The 18182-nt window shown below is 45.0% G+C and overlaps 1 protein-coding gene across 7 annotated transcripts in view; it reads right to left on the reverse strand.

The window, feature by feature from the left end:
* Window positions 1-18182, reverse strand: part of TTLL11 (tubulin tyrosine ligase like 11) — a 277635-nt gene that overhangs the window by 46322 nt on the left and 213131 nt on the right. For 6 of the 7 annotated variants that reach the window (XR_001746188.2, XM_047422825.1, NM_001139442.2 and 3 more), the window contains one exon: window positions 8502-8753. Coding sequence is in view for 5 of the 7 variants with exons in the window: in XM_047422825.1 (XP_047278781.1) it covers window positions 8502-8753 (252 nt within the window). In the remaining 2 variants the exon portion in view is untranslated. Of the gene's footprint in view, window positions 1-8501; window positions 8754-18182 lie in introns of those variants that run through there. The other variant, XR_929721.4, reaches the window with a different exon arrangement.

Genomic DNA, 18182 nt, shown 5'->3' on the forward strand with positions numbered 1-18182 from the left:
TAGGGGAGTCACCTGGAATTGACAGGAGGATTGTGGGGGACGGGCCTCTGAGCTTTGGATGCTCCACTTGTTTAGGTGCAGGGAGGCCACAGTAACCAGGTTTTCAGTCTGATGTCAGCATTGGTGCTCCCTGTCCATGCCACAGCAGGGGTGTTTAGAATCCTCCTACCCCTCCCCAGCTTTTTTTTTTTTTGGTCTGGAAATGTGGAGGGGAGGGCAGTCTGGTATGCCAAAAAGAGCATGATTTAGGCATCAGACAGATTAGGATTTAAATCCTGACTGGAATCTTTTCTAGCTGTGTGACTGTGGGGAATTTACTTAAACCTTCTGTGCTTTTATTTCTTGGGCTCTAAAATGAAGATGATAATACCTGCCCACATGGTTGTGAGTACATGCCAAGAACCCAGCATGGTGCCTGTCACCTGGTAGGCCCACAGCAATTGTGAGTTCCCTTCCCCAACTCTCTCCCCCTTTTCCCTTTTCTTCCTCTAGATCTAGAGCCATCTCACCCCAGAGGCTGCCTGGAGCCCAACCTTTCAGTGAGTGACCCTGCCCGTTCTGGAGAAATGGAGTACACCAGTTGGAATATCTGTGTACAGGGCTTGGGCTCTCTCTTCAGACTGGAAGCAGCCCTTGGCTTGTCCAGGTGCACCCCTGTCCTGGACAGGATCGTGCTGGGAGGCCTGTCCCAAGGCAGGCTAGATTTGTCCAGGGAATCCTGAAAGCTAGGCCTCTGGGCCAGCTGTCAGGTTGGCTGAACTACATTCAATGCCGCTTTCAACTTTTCAAACGAATCCACATCCACTGCCTCAGCTAATGGTGAAGTGGCTCTTTGATTTCCCATTTGCCATTATCCCTTGTGTGAATAGCTCTGTTAGGGACCGGACAGGGGAGGGGTTGATTGGCAAGCAGGGTTTGGGCATCAGAGGCCCCTCTCCAAACCCAAGCGCACCCCTAATGACAGTGGCTGGGCATGTGCCCCGCATGGTGCCCAGACGAGCCTGGTGCTCCTTGTATGCCAGCACACTTTCTTGCCCCCTTCCTCCCTCCTCCCTTTCTTTCTTCCCGCCTGTATTTCCCAGGCCATCAATGCACATCCTGCTTCCTCCTGGGCTCCTGCTCCGTATTTCAATCACGAGTCGCGGTGGCAGACTTCAAAGCACATCAGCACACGGTTATTGAGCCCCAGTAACCACATGTCAATGGACGCGGAGGTTTTCACGTCACTTGTCACCAAGACGGCTATCTACTGGGTTCTGTGGGGGAGGATGGTCCAGTCTCTCCCAGGGTATTCGAACAGCCTGCATTGCTAATTTACAAAGCTTCATTAGGAACAGCCACAGTGTCCTTTAATTATCATATCAGTGTCCTCTGGGCTACCTGCTCTTCCACAAGTCAGGAGCGCTGCCTAGCTTGCTCTGTGGGTTAATAGAGTATTAAAAGGGAAACCAAACTGACCACTGGTATATAGTCATTTTTTTTCTGACAGGTAGAAAATAGAAGTGTCAAACCTTTAGCAGGAGCCGTAATTTACCAAAGAAATTCTCCGTTTATTCCCTTTCCAAGGTAACTCTTCCTCCCTAGTGATGCCTGCAAATATAGTTGATTGCAGCATCTGCTACTGGGACAGAGGAGGGATCCATGCTGGCTGCGGTAGGCAGGAAATGCAAATGCCTTAAAAGAATCTTGATTCTGTAGGCATTTCTTGGGCACTATCTGTATGCTAGGGCTTTTCTTGCTCATCAGCTCTCTGGATTTTAACCATTCCTTGAGGGTGGTATTCCTGATCCCATTTCAATGAAGCGTATGCTGAGGCTCAAGAGATGGGACGTGACTTGCCCAACGTCACACAGCCGGAATTCACATCTAGTCCATCCTTGGAAGATAGAGTAGTGGGCTTGGGAGCTGTGGGGAGATGGCCCAGTCCAGGGCTGCAGGAGGGATTCAGGAATCAAGAAACCAGGTCTCAGGCCAGGGACCAGAAGGGTTGGAGCCTCTAAAGCACTCCTGTGGCAAGCTTTGGGATATGGGGCTGGGGCTAAGCAACCAGGGTGCTTGGATTTGCCCTGTGGTTACCAAACATTCTCAATAAACTCAAACAGGAAATGAATGACTCCAACAGTCAAGATATCAAGACTTTGGAATGAATTTTTCATCCATCTATCCACTGAATGAGAATTTATTTGTGTCCTCTCTGTGTAGGCAGTATTCTGGGCTTGGACAGCAATGAATTGCTGAATGGGCCTTGGATACCGTTCTCAGAGACTATACGTGATCTTAGAGTCTGGGGTAAAAATGTGGCTCTTAATCATTGAGAACAGTTTTCCCTTATGCCTGGGGATGCAGCTCTTCAAATGACTAATGAGTGGAAGGATAAATTCTTCAGTGGAAGAAAAGTCCAGGAAATAGAGTACCATGAGAAGCCAGAAAAGTTTCTAGGAAAGGATAGGTTAGAAATGTACATGGAAAAGATGAGCTTTGGAGTCAAATGCACATGAGTTTGAACCTTGGTTTTGCTGCGTAACCTTGTGCAGGTCATGGAAGCTCTCTGCGTCTACATTAGGAAATTTCGATTTGCACAGTAAGAAAAAGGCTGCTCACCGTACAAGGATCTTTTAAGGACTAGCTCAGTGCCTGGCACACATGGGGAAGTGGCAAATGGCAGTTCCCATCCTTCCTCTCTGATGTAGAACCAGTTTGAAGAAATAGTCTGTTTTTGTTTTTGTTTTTGTTTTCCAGAATCAAAGGAATTTGGGCACATAGGATGGGAGAGAATCACAAATCATTTAAGTTCATTAGGAGTCCAAGTATAGAAATATTTGAAATGATCATTCTCATTTCCTCTTAACAACTACTGACATCTCATGGGAAATTTAGGAACCAACTTTTTCCACTCCATAAAATCCTATTTATAGAATTTCTTTTGTGTTCATCCTTCTCTGTGCAGAAAAGAAGCTTTTTTTTTCTTCTGGAGAGGATTCTATAATGTGAAAGCTAACAAATGATCAATATTTATTTTTTAAAAACCACACTACCTAAACATCTAAGGGGGCAAGAAGACAACTCCAGTTTAAAATGTATGACTTCGAAAGGCCATTGACATCCAAGGCATGCAATATTGCTGGAAAGGGATTGTCACAGAAGCAGGGGAGATTATCAAAGTCACTGAGGAGTTAATGACAGAGGGGGAAGCAAGGCCCCTTACGCTCCTATTCTAGAACATTCTAACACACCACGTTGCCTCTCAGAGAATAAAGCCCCCCGCAGCTACCCATTACGAAGCATGTTAATACCTCCTTATGATAAAAGGGAGTGGAAGGGGAAAGGGGAAAGGAAGAAAAACCTTCCCCTCATTCAAAAGGAGGCCCAGGATCAGAAGCCACCCAGTGGGAGAACCTCACATGAAGCAAATGCTCACGATACAGAGAAGATGCTGCATTTCCTAGAAATAAACCTGGTTTTGGCAAACTGCTTAATTTCTGGGCTGCCATCACGAAAAATGCAGCATACGCAAACTGATGTCCAATTCTGATGTGGGACACATTTGTAAAAATTTTCCTTCGTGAATTACATAGATGCCCCCCAAATCAGTAATCCAATGGAAGGAGAATGACAAAAATGCATCTCCCTCCAAGAAAGCTGTCAAGCTGAAGAATCAATCAGATAATGTCTATTTCTCGGGGAAAAAGGTGGCTTCACACCCCAGCAATTATTATAAAATAAAATGTTAAAAAAGAAAGAAGAAAAGAGGCACTTAATTCATGGTAATATGCACTACTATTATGTGCCTCCTGAGGAAGTGACATGAAAAGCTGGTTAGAGAGAGTTAAGTCTAGACGAGAGAAGAACAGTTCATTATTTCTTATTTCTTGGTGAAAAAGAAAAATAGAATATGGCCAGACTGGCATTAGCATAATTCACTCCGAAAACTGCTGATCTATGCAGCACATTATGAGAGATGGACACTGGAAATAAATTCAATTGGAGTGTTTATTATTTTCTTCCCTCTAGTTCTCTTCAAGGAGCTTGGAGAGAGAGAGTGGGTAGAACAGATGAAAAGCAAGTTCAACTTCTGCCATTTGCGTGGGAGCGCTGAGAGGAGTGTATATCTCGCCAGTGAATATGTCTTTTTCAAAGTGCTCCTGAGAAGGGCACTTGGTTCGATTTAACATATGGCATTAATATTATTAATTCATAATGAAGCAAAATTTAAACCAAAGTGGAACAGAGAGAGAGAAGGGTTGTTAGCAAGAGAAAATGCGTGCTGTTAAATTTAGCCGGCAAGACTGAACATACTTAGAGAAATCTAAAGGCAGAGAATATCATCTTTTATGATTAGGTTGCTGTTAGGATTTTCTGGCACATTTGAAAAAGAAAAATCCGGCCGGGTGCAGTGGTTCATGCCTGTAATCCCAGCACTTTGGGAGGCTGAGGCGGGTGGATCACCTGAGGTCAGGAGTTCAAGACCAGCCTGACCAATATGGTGAAACCCCATCTCTACTAAAAATACAAAAATTAGCCGGGCATGGTGGTGGGCGCCTGTAGTCCCAGCTACTCAGGAGGCTGAGACAGGAGAATTACTTGAACCTGGGAGGTGGAGGTTGCAGTGAACAGAGATTGCACCACTGTACTTCAGCCTGGGCAACAGAGCAAGACTCCATCTCAAAAAAAAAAAAAAGAAAGAAAAGAAAAGAAAAAGAAAAACCTGTTAATCGTTGTGCAATGCTTTCTCCATTTCTCCCTGCATTCTTAATTACTACAGACATTTGTTGGGAAGGGAGGGAGCAGGGAGAGGGGCTCAGTCTGAGTTCCTGTGCACTGGCTGCCTGGTCCCCACTTGAAGAAGTGGTTCTCAGTGTCACGGTCACCATGGCTCCCTAATGAGTTTGGCCACTGATTGGGAATGATGGCTGCAGGACCTAATAGTCCCTAATGTCACAAAACCTGGGTTTTCATGCAAATGCCCTTAATTATAGAGAGCAAAAGGGTGAAAAATCATAAAGCCTATCACATAGAGACAGATTTGTGGCTATATTTTTGACCTCGCCTGGTTCCAATCTGAGAGCATTTTAGGAATCTTCTTGGTTAGAGCCATTCTCAATTCTGCTTTCTTTTCAAGAGTCATAGCAGTCCTCTTAATAGGTACCTCCTTCCTCTCATACCAGAGGTCACCCACCAGTGGTATCTATGGGCAGTCATGCTTTCACTGAATCCACAGTGTTTAAAATTATTTTTCAAATTGCCAACATTTGTAGATGTGTATTGAGATTTTACATAGATATTTAGGATTGAAAAATCAAAAGCTCTGGTAATATGAGCCCAGGAGCAGCCTTCCTTTAGACACGGGATGTGCTCTCCAGCTTGCCACAGCCAGCCTTCCCTCCCCGACCTTGTCTACCCAGCCCTCTGTGATAGCTGATGCTTCCTGCCTAACCTGTAGGCAAGTGAGGTGGTGATTCTTACCATAAGCAATTTTTCAAATCTCCCCCTCTCTCGAATCTGCCCCTCTCTCTTCTCTATGGGTAGGACTTTATTAGAAGTAAAAAGGAAGCATTTCCATTTCTACCAGCAATTTAGCCTAGATGATAAACCTTTCTAACTTCTAAATTTGGGCTATGCATGCCATCCATTCTCAGGCTCTCCCTGCTGCCTGGAAAAATCCTGCTTTTACCAGTCCAAACCCTGCCTCCTCTCGGGAGCCTGCTTTGATTCCACCAGGCAGAGGAAGCCTCCCCCATTCTGTACTTGGAGCACTCTGAATGCCACCCTGCTGGGGAGTCCATGAGCTACCGCCCTGTGACTCTACGAAAACATTACATTTGATGATGTGTTCACTGCATGCTATCTGTTAGACTGACAGTCCTTTGAGGGCAGGCAGGGTCCCATTATTTGCCTTTGAATGTCCCATGGCTACCAGGTGCTCAGGAACAGTCGTTAGGTTAAACCAGACATAATCCTTTATAGCATAACTTTGAGATAGAACAGATCTCACAGGACCAGGGTTCTCTGCAACTCCCAAGATGTCATCCACATGAAGCCAAGCCATTCCTTCATGTTCTCTGATCTTGAATTGAGTCTTCTGTGTGATGGTGTGAAGGCTGGGGAGGGCCAAGGAAGCTTCTGCCTTTGCTCCAAAGATCTGTGCCCACAGATGTCTTATGCTGAGAGAAGCACCCCAGCTTGCTCAATCTCATAATTCTCCGGGGCCCCAAATACTTCCACGGTGCCCTAAGTGCCCTCATGACCTGGGGCCTCTGTCACTAAGCTGCTTTCTTATGTTACAAGGTCCAGGAATCACAAAGGGGCAGAGCCTGCCTACCTATCTGTTCTCTTCCTTCTCTTTTTCACTATAATGGGGTAGCACTATGCACAGTTAGAATAATTCTATTTCCCAGCTTCCTACGCAGATGGTGGTAGCCAGTAAGATGGAAGTGGAAGTCACTAAATGCAGCTTCCAGGAAAGCTTTTGAAAGGGATCTAATTCATGTGTGGAGGCCTTTTTTCTTCCTCCCCTTCTTCCCCTTTCTGCCTGGAACTCAACCATGATGGCTGGATTTTGAGCAGCCCTCTTGTGACCATAAGACAACCCTGAAGTGGAAGTATGCACTTAGGAGGGATGAGCAAAAAGACAGAAAGTGGAACATGGATCATCCTGTGGAGTCATTAATGAGCTCTAGAACCCCCACTGCAAAAGTTCCTGTTATATGAAAGAAAGTTCCTATTTAAGCCATTCGTAGATGGTTCCCTGTTACTGAAAGCCAAATGTAATTCCTAAATGAGTCAGAGAGTATCATGTCAGGCAGTCTTTTCAGTGCAAATAATAACATGTGCCTATTGATTTTTTTGAAAATTCCCACTGCCTGATGGAAATAATAACCACAAGACTCCCACTGAAAAAGCAGCTCCCATGAACTAGGCATCAGGCCAGCTGCTTTATGATATATTATCCCAACCTCATAACAAATCCTGCAAGGCAGGGATGATTGTTCCCATTTTGCAGATGAGAGAACTGAGTGCAGAGAAGATAAGGAATTTATCCAAAGCCACACAGCTATGAAGTAATGTGCTTGGCTCTGAAGCCAGACCTGTCTGATCCCAAAGCCTGTCCTCTTTCCACTGGGCTTCCCTCCCCCACCCTGCCCTACCTCCTGAAACTAACGCAAAGCCCTTCTCAAAGTCACCATGCAAAATTACTACTTCAGGTGTACTGAAACGGCAAAATTCCTGCCAATACTTCTGTGTACCATCCTGTCAGGAATAGCAGAGGGCTAGAGTTAGAATTTATAAAACTTCTTTGGAGACAAGTCTTTGACAAAAGTGGCTTCCCACTCAAGACTTCTAATTATTTTAGTGAATAAAGCTGTGAAAAGCATGACTTTGAGGTGCAAGACAAAAATATTAAAATCACTGATGGGAAAAACAACAGCAATACTGAGTGCTAGCAGACATCCTCCTTGAGGTGTATAGGATACAATTAATTGCTAAGGAATAATTCACTGTTGTCGCCCATTCATATTTGTTAAAGGGATCTAGAGTTATTAGATTAACATATACTTAGTGGGAACCTTCTTTGATCGAGACTCTGTGTAGGACCATATATATATCTATATGAATTATATATAAACATACATATAATTTCATAGAATTCTTTTAATCTTGTAAGAAGAAACTGACATTTATTGATCACTTACCATACGCTAGATGTTTCTATGCGATCTCAACTAATATTACACACACTATTGTAGGGCACAGGCAGCTTTATCCTCATTTTACAGGATGGATTTATTGAGGTTTAGGGGTGCTCTTTGACTTGCCTTAGGGTTACTTGCCCTAGAAGCCAGTAAATGCTGCTGTATTGCCCCAAAGTGCCCCCACAGGGTAGAGGGAAATTAATGTGTAATCTCAGGAAACCAAGCGGCAACTGCTAACTTTGCAGGCTGCAGCAAAGATATAATTTCTTTATCTCATGCTTTATCTTGAAAATTCATGCAAATTTTGCATTACACTCTATAATATGGCCATGCTATTTTTATATTAGAACAAATGTATTAAAATATTTATCAGCTGAGTTATTTAACTTTTCCCTTCTGAAACTGACACTTTGGAAAGATGTGCCTTGCTTCTCTGTTGTGGCTTCACGAACGCCAAACACACAGCCATGCACCACTGGGAGAAGCCCAGTTTAAGAAGCACAAGGTCTGCCTGACTCCAAGGGGCGATTATTAATATGCGTTTTCAGGACTCAGCTCAAGGTAGGCACAGAGTTGTTTTTAAATCATGAACATAAGGTTGCAATGCGGTCACACCCATCATATTCATTAATTCACTCAACAAATGAGATTCTACCATGTGCCAGCCACTAGGCTAATCCAAGCTCAAATGGGGTACTGACCCAGCACCACAGATTCTCCCGAGCGCAGTCAGGGAGACCCGCCAGCCAGATGTGAGACTGGACTCCACCCAGCCCAAAGCCCAAGCCAGAGGGGGCTGTTCTCACTGACCTTATGAAGGTACGAAAGCCTGTTGGCCCCAACTTCATTGTCCCCTTGATGCCCAGGAACCGGATAAACAAATTTGCCATCCTGTCCACCAGGCGCAGGTAGTTGAACTGTTTTGCGTACTTGGGGAACACCTGCTTGAGGCAAATGGAAGGCAGGTGGGCTTCGGGGTTGGCGTTGCAGTCTGGAGCACTGGTCAGCTCGCCGTCCAAAGCATCTTCCTTTCCAGCGAATGGTTTTTCAAGCTGCTGAGACCTGAAGCACACAAAGAATTAATGATATAACACTTTCCCTTTCAGTTTCTCCTTTACTTGAGATTTACAGCCTCCTCGGGAGGCAGCATTACCAGCATTTTTTATTTTACAGACAGCAAGACTGACCACAGAGAAGTGACCTGCCCAAGCTCACACAGCTAGCACATAGCCAAGCCAGGACATGAAACCAAGGCAGAGCCACGGCTAGAAATGTATCCTTCCTCCTTCCACCATCCTGGTTTCCCAGTATGAAAACTTTCCTTTACTGTATTCATGATTCAACGGAATACTCTGTTATGTAGCAGTCTGGATTTGATTTCAAACTCTTACTTATGGGTAGTAATTGAATAATTAAGAAATATAAAAATCTCATTGAGGACTGGCGAGAAGCCAGAACACAGTTCAACGAACAATTTGCAAAGATGCATCAGCTACCGAATTCTAGGAATAGAAACAATTATATTTCTGGCTTAACTGTTTTTTTTTTTTAAATTTGGAATTCATACAAAAAATGATTATAGTGTAGTGATTCCTTAGTCTGGATATTCAGAAATTATTTTGATATTCAAGAAAACTAGCAGCTAATAACTCTTAAATATCCACCTCTAGCACAGAATGTTCTTCTCACCTTAGACCTATATATTATTCCCCCTGCCCCAAATCTATGTCTCCCATCTCCTTGAACGTCACAACCATCTGCCAGTTACTCAACAGGAAAGCACAGAATAAATGCCGACTCCTCCTCAGCTAGTTCTGCCTCCTTAGTCCTGAAGCCAACCCCTGCTCTGCCCCTGCTTGGACTGTAGCAAAGGCCCTCCTGCCTCTGGCTTTGCCCATCCATAGATCCATCCTTCAAACTGGCACCTGAGTCACCTCTTTTTAGGCCAGCCTGGCTGAGTCACTTACTTGCTAAAACCACTGAGGACTCCCAAGTCTGTACTGCTCATTCTGGCACTTGAGGCCCTTCCCGAGTTCTTCCCGGGCCTCCTCATTTCCAATCATCCCCCTGCCAGGCACACAGTTCCAGCCCAAGCCTTGTGTGCTGCTCCTCCCAACCTGCCACTCACTGGCCTGCCCTGGAACCGGAGACTCCATGCTCCTTGGACACCCAGCTCCCTTCCACACTCAAAGGCCCTCTCTGCAATTGCAGGTCAGTTCCCACTCCTGGGTCCTATCCTGTCGGGATCTGGGGCCAGGCGTAGCCCTCTCTCACCTGTTGTGTTCATTCCTGAGACAGAACCTCGAGCATGTTATACATGGTCAGTAAATGCTGCCTGGTTGACTAACTGATCCAAGGAAGTTAGGATGACGTCTCGTGGTACTGAGACGTGCTGCTGTTAATGGTACCAAGGCCTGTTCTCTACTCCTTATTAAATGTCCTCATGCCCAGTGCTTTCATTTCCAAGCAAGCACACCATTAGTGCCCAGGTTGGGCCATCTGGGTGTCTTTGTGCCTGCTTTCCTCTGGCCGTGGCTGGCTGGCACACTTCTGTTCCACTTTCAAAACCAGCTGAGATGGCTTCTTGACCACACAGGTCCCTCTCTCTCATGCCTCATCCCTATTTCTTGGACCTGCTTCCTTGTTTGCTTTGTCATGCCTGCACTGCACTGGTTTACATGCCAGTCTCTCTCACCGTTTTGTGAGCTCATTGAAGGCCTACATCTGTTTCATATAGAAATTTCACTCCTATTTCTATAAGACCTGAAACATACTTGGTGTTTGAGAAAGTTTCATTGAATCCATTGCATTGAAAAAGTTTGCAACGTAAGCCTTAACATATCAAGGTTATAATGCTTTGTAACCTGTAAGTGCTTTTAAATTCAATAGCGAAACAACATGCGTGATAGCCCTGTACGAACGGTCCTCTCTTCATCCCAGTCCAAGGAGCCAGCCTCTGGGAAAAACTCCCTTGTGTGAATAAAAAGTCCTGGAAGGCCTATTCCCGGTTCCTCCTTAGTGGGTCTTGATGCTGGTCTCAAAGCAAGGACAGGCAGAGGGCAGAAGCAGAGAAGCATGAGGGAAAAATCTCTTTTCAACTTCAACAATGTGGAGGGTTTTAAGGAAAGAAATGCTCCCTCCCACAAAGAGGAGAGTCCTGACTCCTTGGGAGAGGCGAATGTGCCCAAAGGGCTGCAATTTTCCTTCTGCTAAAATGATTTTGTCATCATCACCTTGAACTTAAGACAGTAAATATCAGGTGGTTGCTTTTCAGTTGAAATGAAATGTTTTCCCATTAAGGTTATAGGAAGAAAGATGAGAAAAAAGGCGACACTTTTACCGGAAATTAGCCCTTAAATTACTGGGTAAGTGGCAATCAATGACTTTATAAGCACTCAGTAAGTTTTTATTCAAGGAAAGATTTGGAAATGTACAGTTGGAATACACTCAATAACAACGAAAATAGCTCAGAGGACTCCTCAGTTGGCAGATCCATCCACAGTCAGGTGGTCATCTGCTCTTCACTCCACTTTGCACAGTAGACTGTTATGACTATGCCCCTGTTCCAGACGAAGAAACTGAGGCTTGGCAAGGTGTTGCACCTGTATCATCTAGCTGAACTGGAATTATAAGTCAGTTCTTATAATCCACTGATCCACTGCTCTTTCTATTTTACTACTGTAATTCTTCTTCTCCTTTTTTTTTTTTTTTTTTTGGCTTCAAGCCATTCTCCTGCCTCAGCCTCCTGAGTTAGCTGGGATTACAGGCATGCGCCACCACACCCAGCTAATTTTTTTATATTTTTAGTAGAGACAGGGTTTCACCATGTTGGTCAGGCTGGTCCTGAACTCCTGACCTCAAGCAATCCACCTGCCTCAGCCTTCCAAAGTGCTGCGATTACAGGCATGAGCCACCGTGCCCAGTCCCGCCTCCTCCTCCTCCTCCTCCTCCTCCTCTCTTCTTCTTCTTCTTCTTCTTCTTCTTTTTTAAGAGATAGGGGCTCACTTTGTCACCCAGGCTGGAGTGCAGTGGTACAACCACAGCTCACTGTAGCCTAGGCTCAGCCTAGGTACCTGGGCTCAAACAATCTTGCCTCAGCTTCCTGAGTAGCTAGAACTACAGGTGTGCACCACCATTAGCCTGACTTTTTTTTTTTTTTTTTTTTTTTGAGAGACAGAGTCTTGCTCTGTCACCCAGGCTGGAGTGTAGTGGCGTGATCTTGGCTCACTGCCACTGCAACCTCTGCCTCCTGGGTTCAAGTGATTCTCTTGTCTCAGCCTCCTGAGTAGCTGGGATTACAGGTGTGTGCCACCACACCTGGCTAATTTTTGTATTTTTATAGAGATGGGGTTTTGCCATCTCTACTAAATGGTTTGGCCAGGCTGGTCTCTAACTCCTGACCTCAAGTGATCCACCCACCTCAGCCTCCCAAAGTGCTGGGATTACAGGCGTGAGCCACCGTGCCTGGCCAGTCTGGTTAATTTTTAAGTTTTTTTTGTAGAGATAAGGTCTCGCTACATTGATCAGGCTAGTCTTGAACTCAAGCGATCCTCCTGCCTTGGCCAGCCTCCCAATATCTTGGGATTATAGGCATGAGCCTCTGCACCCGACCCACCACCCCATTATTCAAATATACATCATAATTCACATTGTGGGTTACAAATCCTATGTGGAATTATTGATTTTTTATTTTATAGAATTTTTTAAAGATTATAATAGTAAGTCATGCTCTTTGTAGACATTCTGAGAAATGTATAAAGGAATCAAAATCATTTGTAATTCTACAAGTCTGAGAGCAACACTATTAACATTTTGATTTCTTATCTATATTTATAAAGTTAGGATTACATTACATGTATTCCAAATCCTTCTTTTTATACCCTACATTGTAAGTATCTTCCCATGGTATTAAGAGTGTTTTCATCAGTGTAATTTCTCATGACATGACATATTCTGTATTAATTAACCATTCCCCCTCAGTTAGAGATCTAGTGTCACATGGTCTGTCATTTGACTAAATAGAGTCAGTGATCAGTCCCCTGAGTGATGTGCTCCCTCTCAGAGGCATAATTTTTTTTTTTTTTTTTTGAGACAGAGACTTGTTCTGTCACCCAGGCTGCAGTGCAGTGGCGTGATCTCGGCTCACTGCAACCTCCGCCTCCCGGGTTCAAGCGAATCTCTTGTCTCAGCCTCCCAAGTAGCTGGAACTACAGGCGTGTGCCACTATGTCTGGCTAATTTTTTTTTTCTTTTTTGTATATTTAGTAGAGATGGGGTTTCACCTTGTTAGCCAGGAAGCATAAAATCTTACAGCTATAAGTGGCTTTGGAGATCACTCTGTCCAACGATGTCATTTATTATTTTATCATAGTATAATAATGAACATAAAGCTCACCGTTTTAACCATTTTCAAGTGGACAGTTCAGTGGTGTTTCAGGCATTCACACTGTTGTGTAACTGTCACCAGTATCTAGTTCCAGAACATTTTTGAAATGATTCTAGAGAAGAAATTTAAATCCAGATAGATAAGGTCATTTGATCAGCATATCATCCAGGGTCGTGGGCTTAGCTGGGGTTGCCCTGGTGATGGGAACTCCACCACCTCTGGGACACCTCAGACTGGAAAGGTGTTCGCAATGGTAACCAGCAAATTGTCTTTCTCCAGGGTCCAACTCCTGCCTCCAGAGCCTTGCAGAATGAGTCTGTTTTTTCTTCTAGCGACAGCCTTTCAAATTTCTTTCAAGGGTTGCTGTATTTAGTGGATGACTACCATTTCCCATCCTTCCTGAATCCCAATTAATAACCTCACGATGAAAAGAGTCTTCAAAGCCAGAGATATCATTTTCATGGACTCAACCGCAAATTCAGAGGGAGGTGGTTTTACTCAGCTGGAAGAAGGCACTAACGATACATCTGATATGTAAGAGGAAATGAAACAATGAGAAATGGTATCTTTGCTGGAGATAATTCCAATTATCATGTTGAGATCCAAGCCATCACAAATATGTAAGATCCTGTTTTTACTTAATAGCATTTTAATGGAAATGTCGGGCTTATGAAATAAAAGTGACTGGTAAAGAAAATATAAATCAAGCTGACTAGTCCTTTGGGATAATTTTTTTAAAACTGAATTTGTTATATCCTTGATTCATTAAAATAGGTGAAAGAGTTCTGGAATGTTTTATCTATTAGCATTTTTCAAATACAATGGAATCATTTTTCATTGAAACTTGTGAAAAACCACCTATCTCTATTTTGCCTGGAAAGTTAACTGTTCATTTATCAAGGGCCTACTACATGTCTAACATTGCTCCAAGCCACTTACCTATATTGCTTCATTTGTTTCTCATAACAATTCTACAGTGTAGGTGGAAACGATTCCCATTTTACAGATTAGGAAACAGGCCCAGAGAGGCTGAATACTTTCCCAAGCTCACCCAATCAGTAGTGAAATCAGGATTTACACTTGGGACTGTCTCACAACACACCCCATGCTTAGTTCACTATATAGCTTTTGTGATCATTTGATTTAAATCAAATCAGAGACTTTTCTTCTTATGTATAAGTGGTATATAGTTCCAGAAATTAACAGAGAAGTAGATCTAGCAAGGTCAAATTCTAGTTGCTGAGAAGTTGCTTGAGTTAATTTCCATCTCTAGTTAAACATTCCTTCAATAATTTATTCATCCATGAAACATGTTCCAAGCACTCACATGCCCCAGGGGCCTCGGATACAAGAGTGAGGTGGACACAGTCCCTGTCACCCAGAAGCATGGGACCAAGTGAGGGAAAACAAGACCCATATATAAACAGTGACTTGGCAGTGTGATGATGAGTGAGCCAGCATGGGTCTAGGTCATACAGGACCCTGAATGTGAGAGAAAGGTGCTTGGACTTAGTAGTGTAGGGAATGAGAGAATGTGGTAGATTTTGAGGAGAGGAATGGCAAGATTAAAACCACGCTGGAGACGAATAAATCTGCCAGCACTATGTATTCCGAACTGAGAGGGGAAGGGTGGATGGTATTAGAAAGCTACTGGAATGGTCTAGGTCAACGATTCTGAAAGTGTGGTCCCCAGCCCAGCAGCATCAGTGCCTCCTGATAACTTGTTAGTAATGTACATTCTTGGATCTCACCCCAGACCTACTGACTCAGAAACTCTGAGTGGGCTGGGCAGTCTGTTGTAGCAAACCCTGCGGGTGATTCTGATACGGGCTAAGGTCTAAGAATCACTGGTCTAGGTGAAAGAAAGTGAGACCTAAACTAGGGCAGTTGTAATGGGCATAGAGACAGGCAGCTTTAGACACACAGATTTAGCAACTACTGCTTGAACATGTGGGACAAAAGGGGAGAGAACACCCTGGATCACGTTCCCAGGCAGCCCCGTGGCTTGGCAGGAGAGCCTTGTGGCAGTGGTGCCGCATGGCAAAGGGACATAAACAGGTCCCCGTCCCTGCTGTTCGGCCAAGGCGAAGTCCCCTCAGTCACTAGCGGATTCCAAACGCACATGTATCGTGTTGGCATTCCTGCAGAAAATGCTAACCATGCACCAAAGAAGTCCCTTAAATTAGCCCTGCAGCTAATTTAAAGAACTGGAGGATGAAGTCACTAAAAATAAACTTTACTGTATAGCCCAGCTCTGTTGCTTGATAAATCTCTGCTATCGCAGAGGCTCCATTTGCCTGACGGGTGATGCTAGGCAACTTGAAGGGAAGGTGATAGACTCTAAAACAGGTGAGGCGTGGGCTTCCACAGTGACAAGGAAAGGACTTAACGAGAGAGCTCTGTCTGCCATCCAAGTCCCTCTAAGACCTAGACCCACGTTGAGCCTATTCCCACCTATTCCCCTTCACGCAATGACCCTTCCTCCCCACAAACCCCGGTCAGGCCACTTCCACCTGGCTTGATCACTTTCCTCTGTAACATATCATCGACAGCAACAAAACATCAAAACGCAACAAAACACAATAGCGATGATATTAATTGCACATACTATGTGCCAGGAACTGCAATTTAAAAAAATTTAATCTTGATAAAATCCTATGAAGCAGGTGTTATTATTAATATGATCCCCATTTTACAGATGAGGAAACCAAGGCACAAGGATATGAACCAATGTGTTTTGAACCTGGGAAAGAAACCCAGACAGGCGGGCTCCAGCATCCTTGTTTCTAACCACTGCATCATGCGGCCTCCATACACGGGGAGCTGTCAGGCACTCACTGAGGACCTGGAGAGTCAGGCCGGTTATTTGTAACATCTCCTTTGACCCTAGCAAGAATCCTACGAATTAGGTATTACAAATGGTCCCATTTCACTGATGAGAAAAGTGAGCTTCAGAGAGGTTAACCTACTTTCCTAAGGTGGCTCAGCTTTGACCTCAAAGTCCAGGCGCTTTCCACGCCATCATGCTCACTTGATGTAGTTATACAACTTCACTGAACTCATTTTCCCCTCCCTGGCAATGGAGAGAAGTTTCTGGCTCTGTGGGGTGGCGTGAGGCTAAAGCAGGAGGATGGAGCCTACGCCTAGCACAAAACGGCCACATTGTTTAGGACTCAAAACAGGCTTTCCACAAAGCATCAAGATGAATCTGCTTGGGGGGCTTGTAACTGTCCTCAATGTGACTTCTCGGGAGGGTACCAGTGCTCATCTGGCTGCTTCGTTTTGTTTGCCAAACAAGTCAATCTGTTACTTTACATTCCGGGCTCCCAAGAATTGCTGACATGTAATGTTTGTAATGTGTGTCGACTATATGAATTAACAAAGGACCCCATGGCGACAACAGCAGACTAGGTCTCTCCCTGCCTGGGGATGGATTCCCAGAGCTGCCAGGCCTGGGGTTGCTGCAGGCGCATTTTCCTGCAGGGCCAGGCGACGCATTAACTGAAGGACAAGCATAAGGACTTACTCTAATGCCCTGGCTCCCACAGACCCAGAACTCATGCTATTTCAGAGCTGGAAAGGCCTTTTGGGGTCACTGCGCCCAGCCCTCTCATTTTACGGATGAAGGAGCTGACAGCTCATTTTACAAAGACCTCCCAATAAGCTTCTTTTCCAACAGGGTTCTCTGCCCTGCCGGCCCTGAGCATGGAGCGCGTGTCTTCGCCATTGTCCCTCTTGCCCACTGGGCCTGCAGCACGGTCAGAGGCAATGAAACATTTTGTACACATAGGCCAAGGAGGGGTGCTCCAGTCGCCTCCTCCTCCCTGGGCTGTGGGGCTGGTGGTGCAGGGGGTCTGGAGTTTGGGCTTTGTGGGTAGATCAGGGCATGGTTGAAATCCCAGCTCTGCCACTCACAAGCTGTGTGACCTTGGGCAAGTCATACAGTCTCAAAGCTTTAGTTTCCTCTAATATAAAATGGGAATAATAATGGCACCTAACCTATAGGACTGGTGTTAGGATTAGCAGAGAAGATGGACACAGCACCTCAATACCTGTTTGCCACTTGGATTATAACCACTGACATCTTTCTCTCATGAGTGTCATCATCTCAAGGGGCCCACTGTCTAGTCACCAGCCCTCAGTGGGAGAGACTGGTATTCACCCCGAGGACCTCAGGAGAATATGGGGTTTCTGCCTCACTCCCCATCCCATGTAACCAAACACTAGATTGACTTTCCGCTCCTCCACTGCTCCTTCTTGGGAAACTCTCATTCCAGGCTGTCCAGGACCACCTAACAAACCCTCCACGTGTGCCTCATTTTCTCAGGCCTGGCTGGGGAGTTCACTGTACCTGCTCTGACACCCTCCTTCTCTATTGAGGATGAAGTAATGCGTGAGAGAGAACTTTGCTGCTGCCCAGGTACAGAAAAAGTCAGATTTTGAGTTAGAAGGGGCACTAGCAATGACCATGTGTCATTTTCCTTCTGAAATACATAGAGAGTGGGGCCAAGTCACTGACTTGAGGTGAGGCATCACACAGGGGTGGCAAAGGCAGGCTAAGGCCCCCGGACTTCTCATCCAGAGCCTTTGAGATAAAAAAGAGTGAAGAAGAAGGGAGAGTTAAGTGGCTCAAGCCTATAATCCTAGCACTTTGGGAGGCTGAGGTGGGAGAACTGCTTGAAGCCCTGAATCTAGACCAGGCTGGGCAACATAGCGAGACCCCACTTCTACAAAAAATTAAAAATTAGTCAGCTCTGGTGGTACGCACCTGCGGTCCTAACTACTTGGGAGGCTGAGGTGGGAGGATTGCTTGAACCCGGGAAACAAGTCTGCAGTGAGCCGTGAGCTGTGCCACTGCACTCCAGCCTGGGAGATGGAGCAAGACCCTGTGTTTAAAAAAAGAAAAAGAAAAGAAAAAAGAAAGAAAAAGAAGAAAAAAAATGACACAGCTATTGAGCATAAATGCCAGAGTGGCCAAAATTCTGAATGAAAAGCTCAGACTCTTCTAGCCACCTTGGCAGAAAGGGAGGAGAATGCCTTTTGCCTGAAGGACTTCAGAGCCCCCTTTAAAGCTACTGAATAGTTGGCCACTGCCTTTCCGTAGAT

Source organism: Homo sapiens, chromosome 9 (genome assembly GCF_000001405.40).
Source record: "Homo sapiens chromosome 9, GRCh38.p14 Primary Assembly".
Classification (NCBI taxonomy): Eukaryota; Metazoa; Chordata; class Mammalia; order Primates; family Hominidae; genus Homo; species Homo sapiens.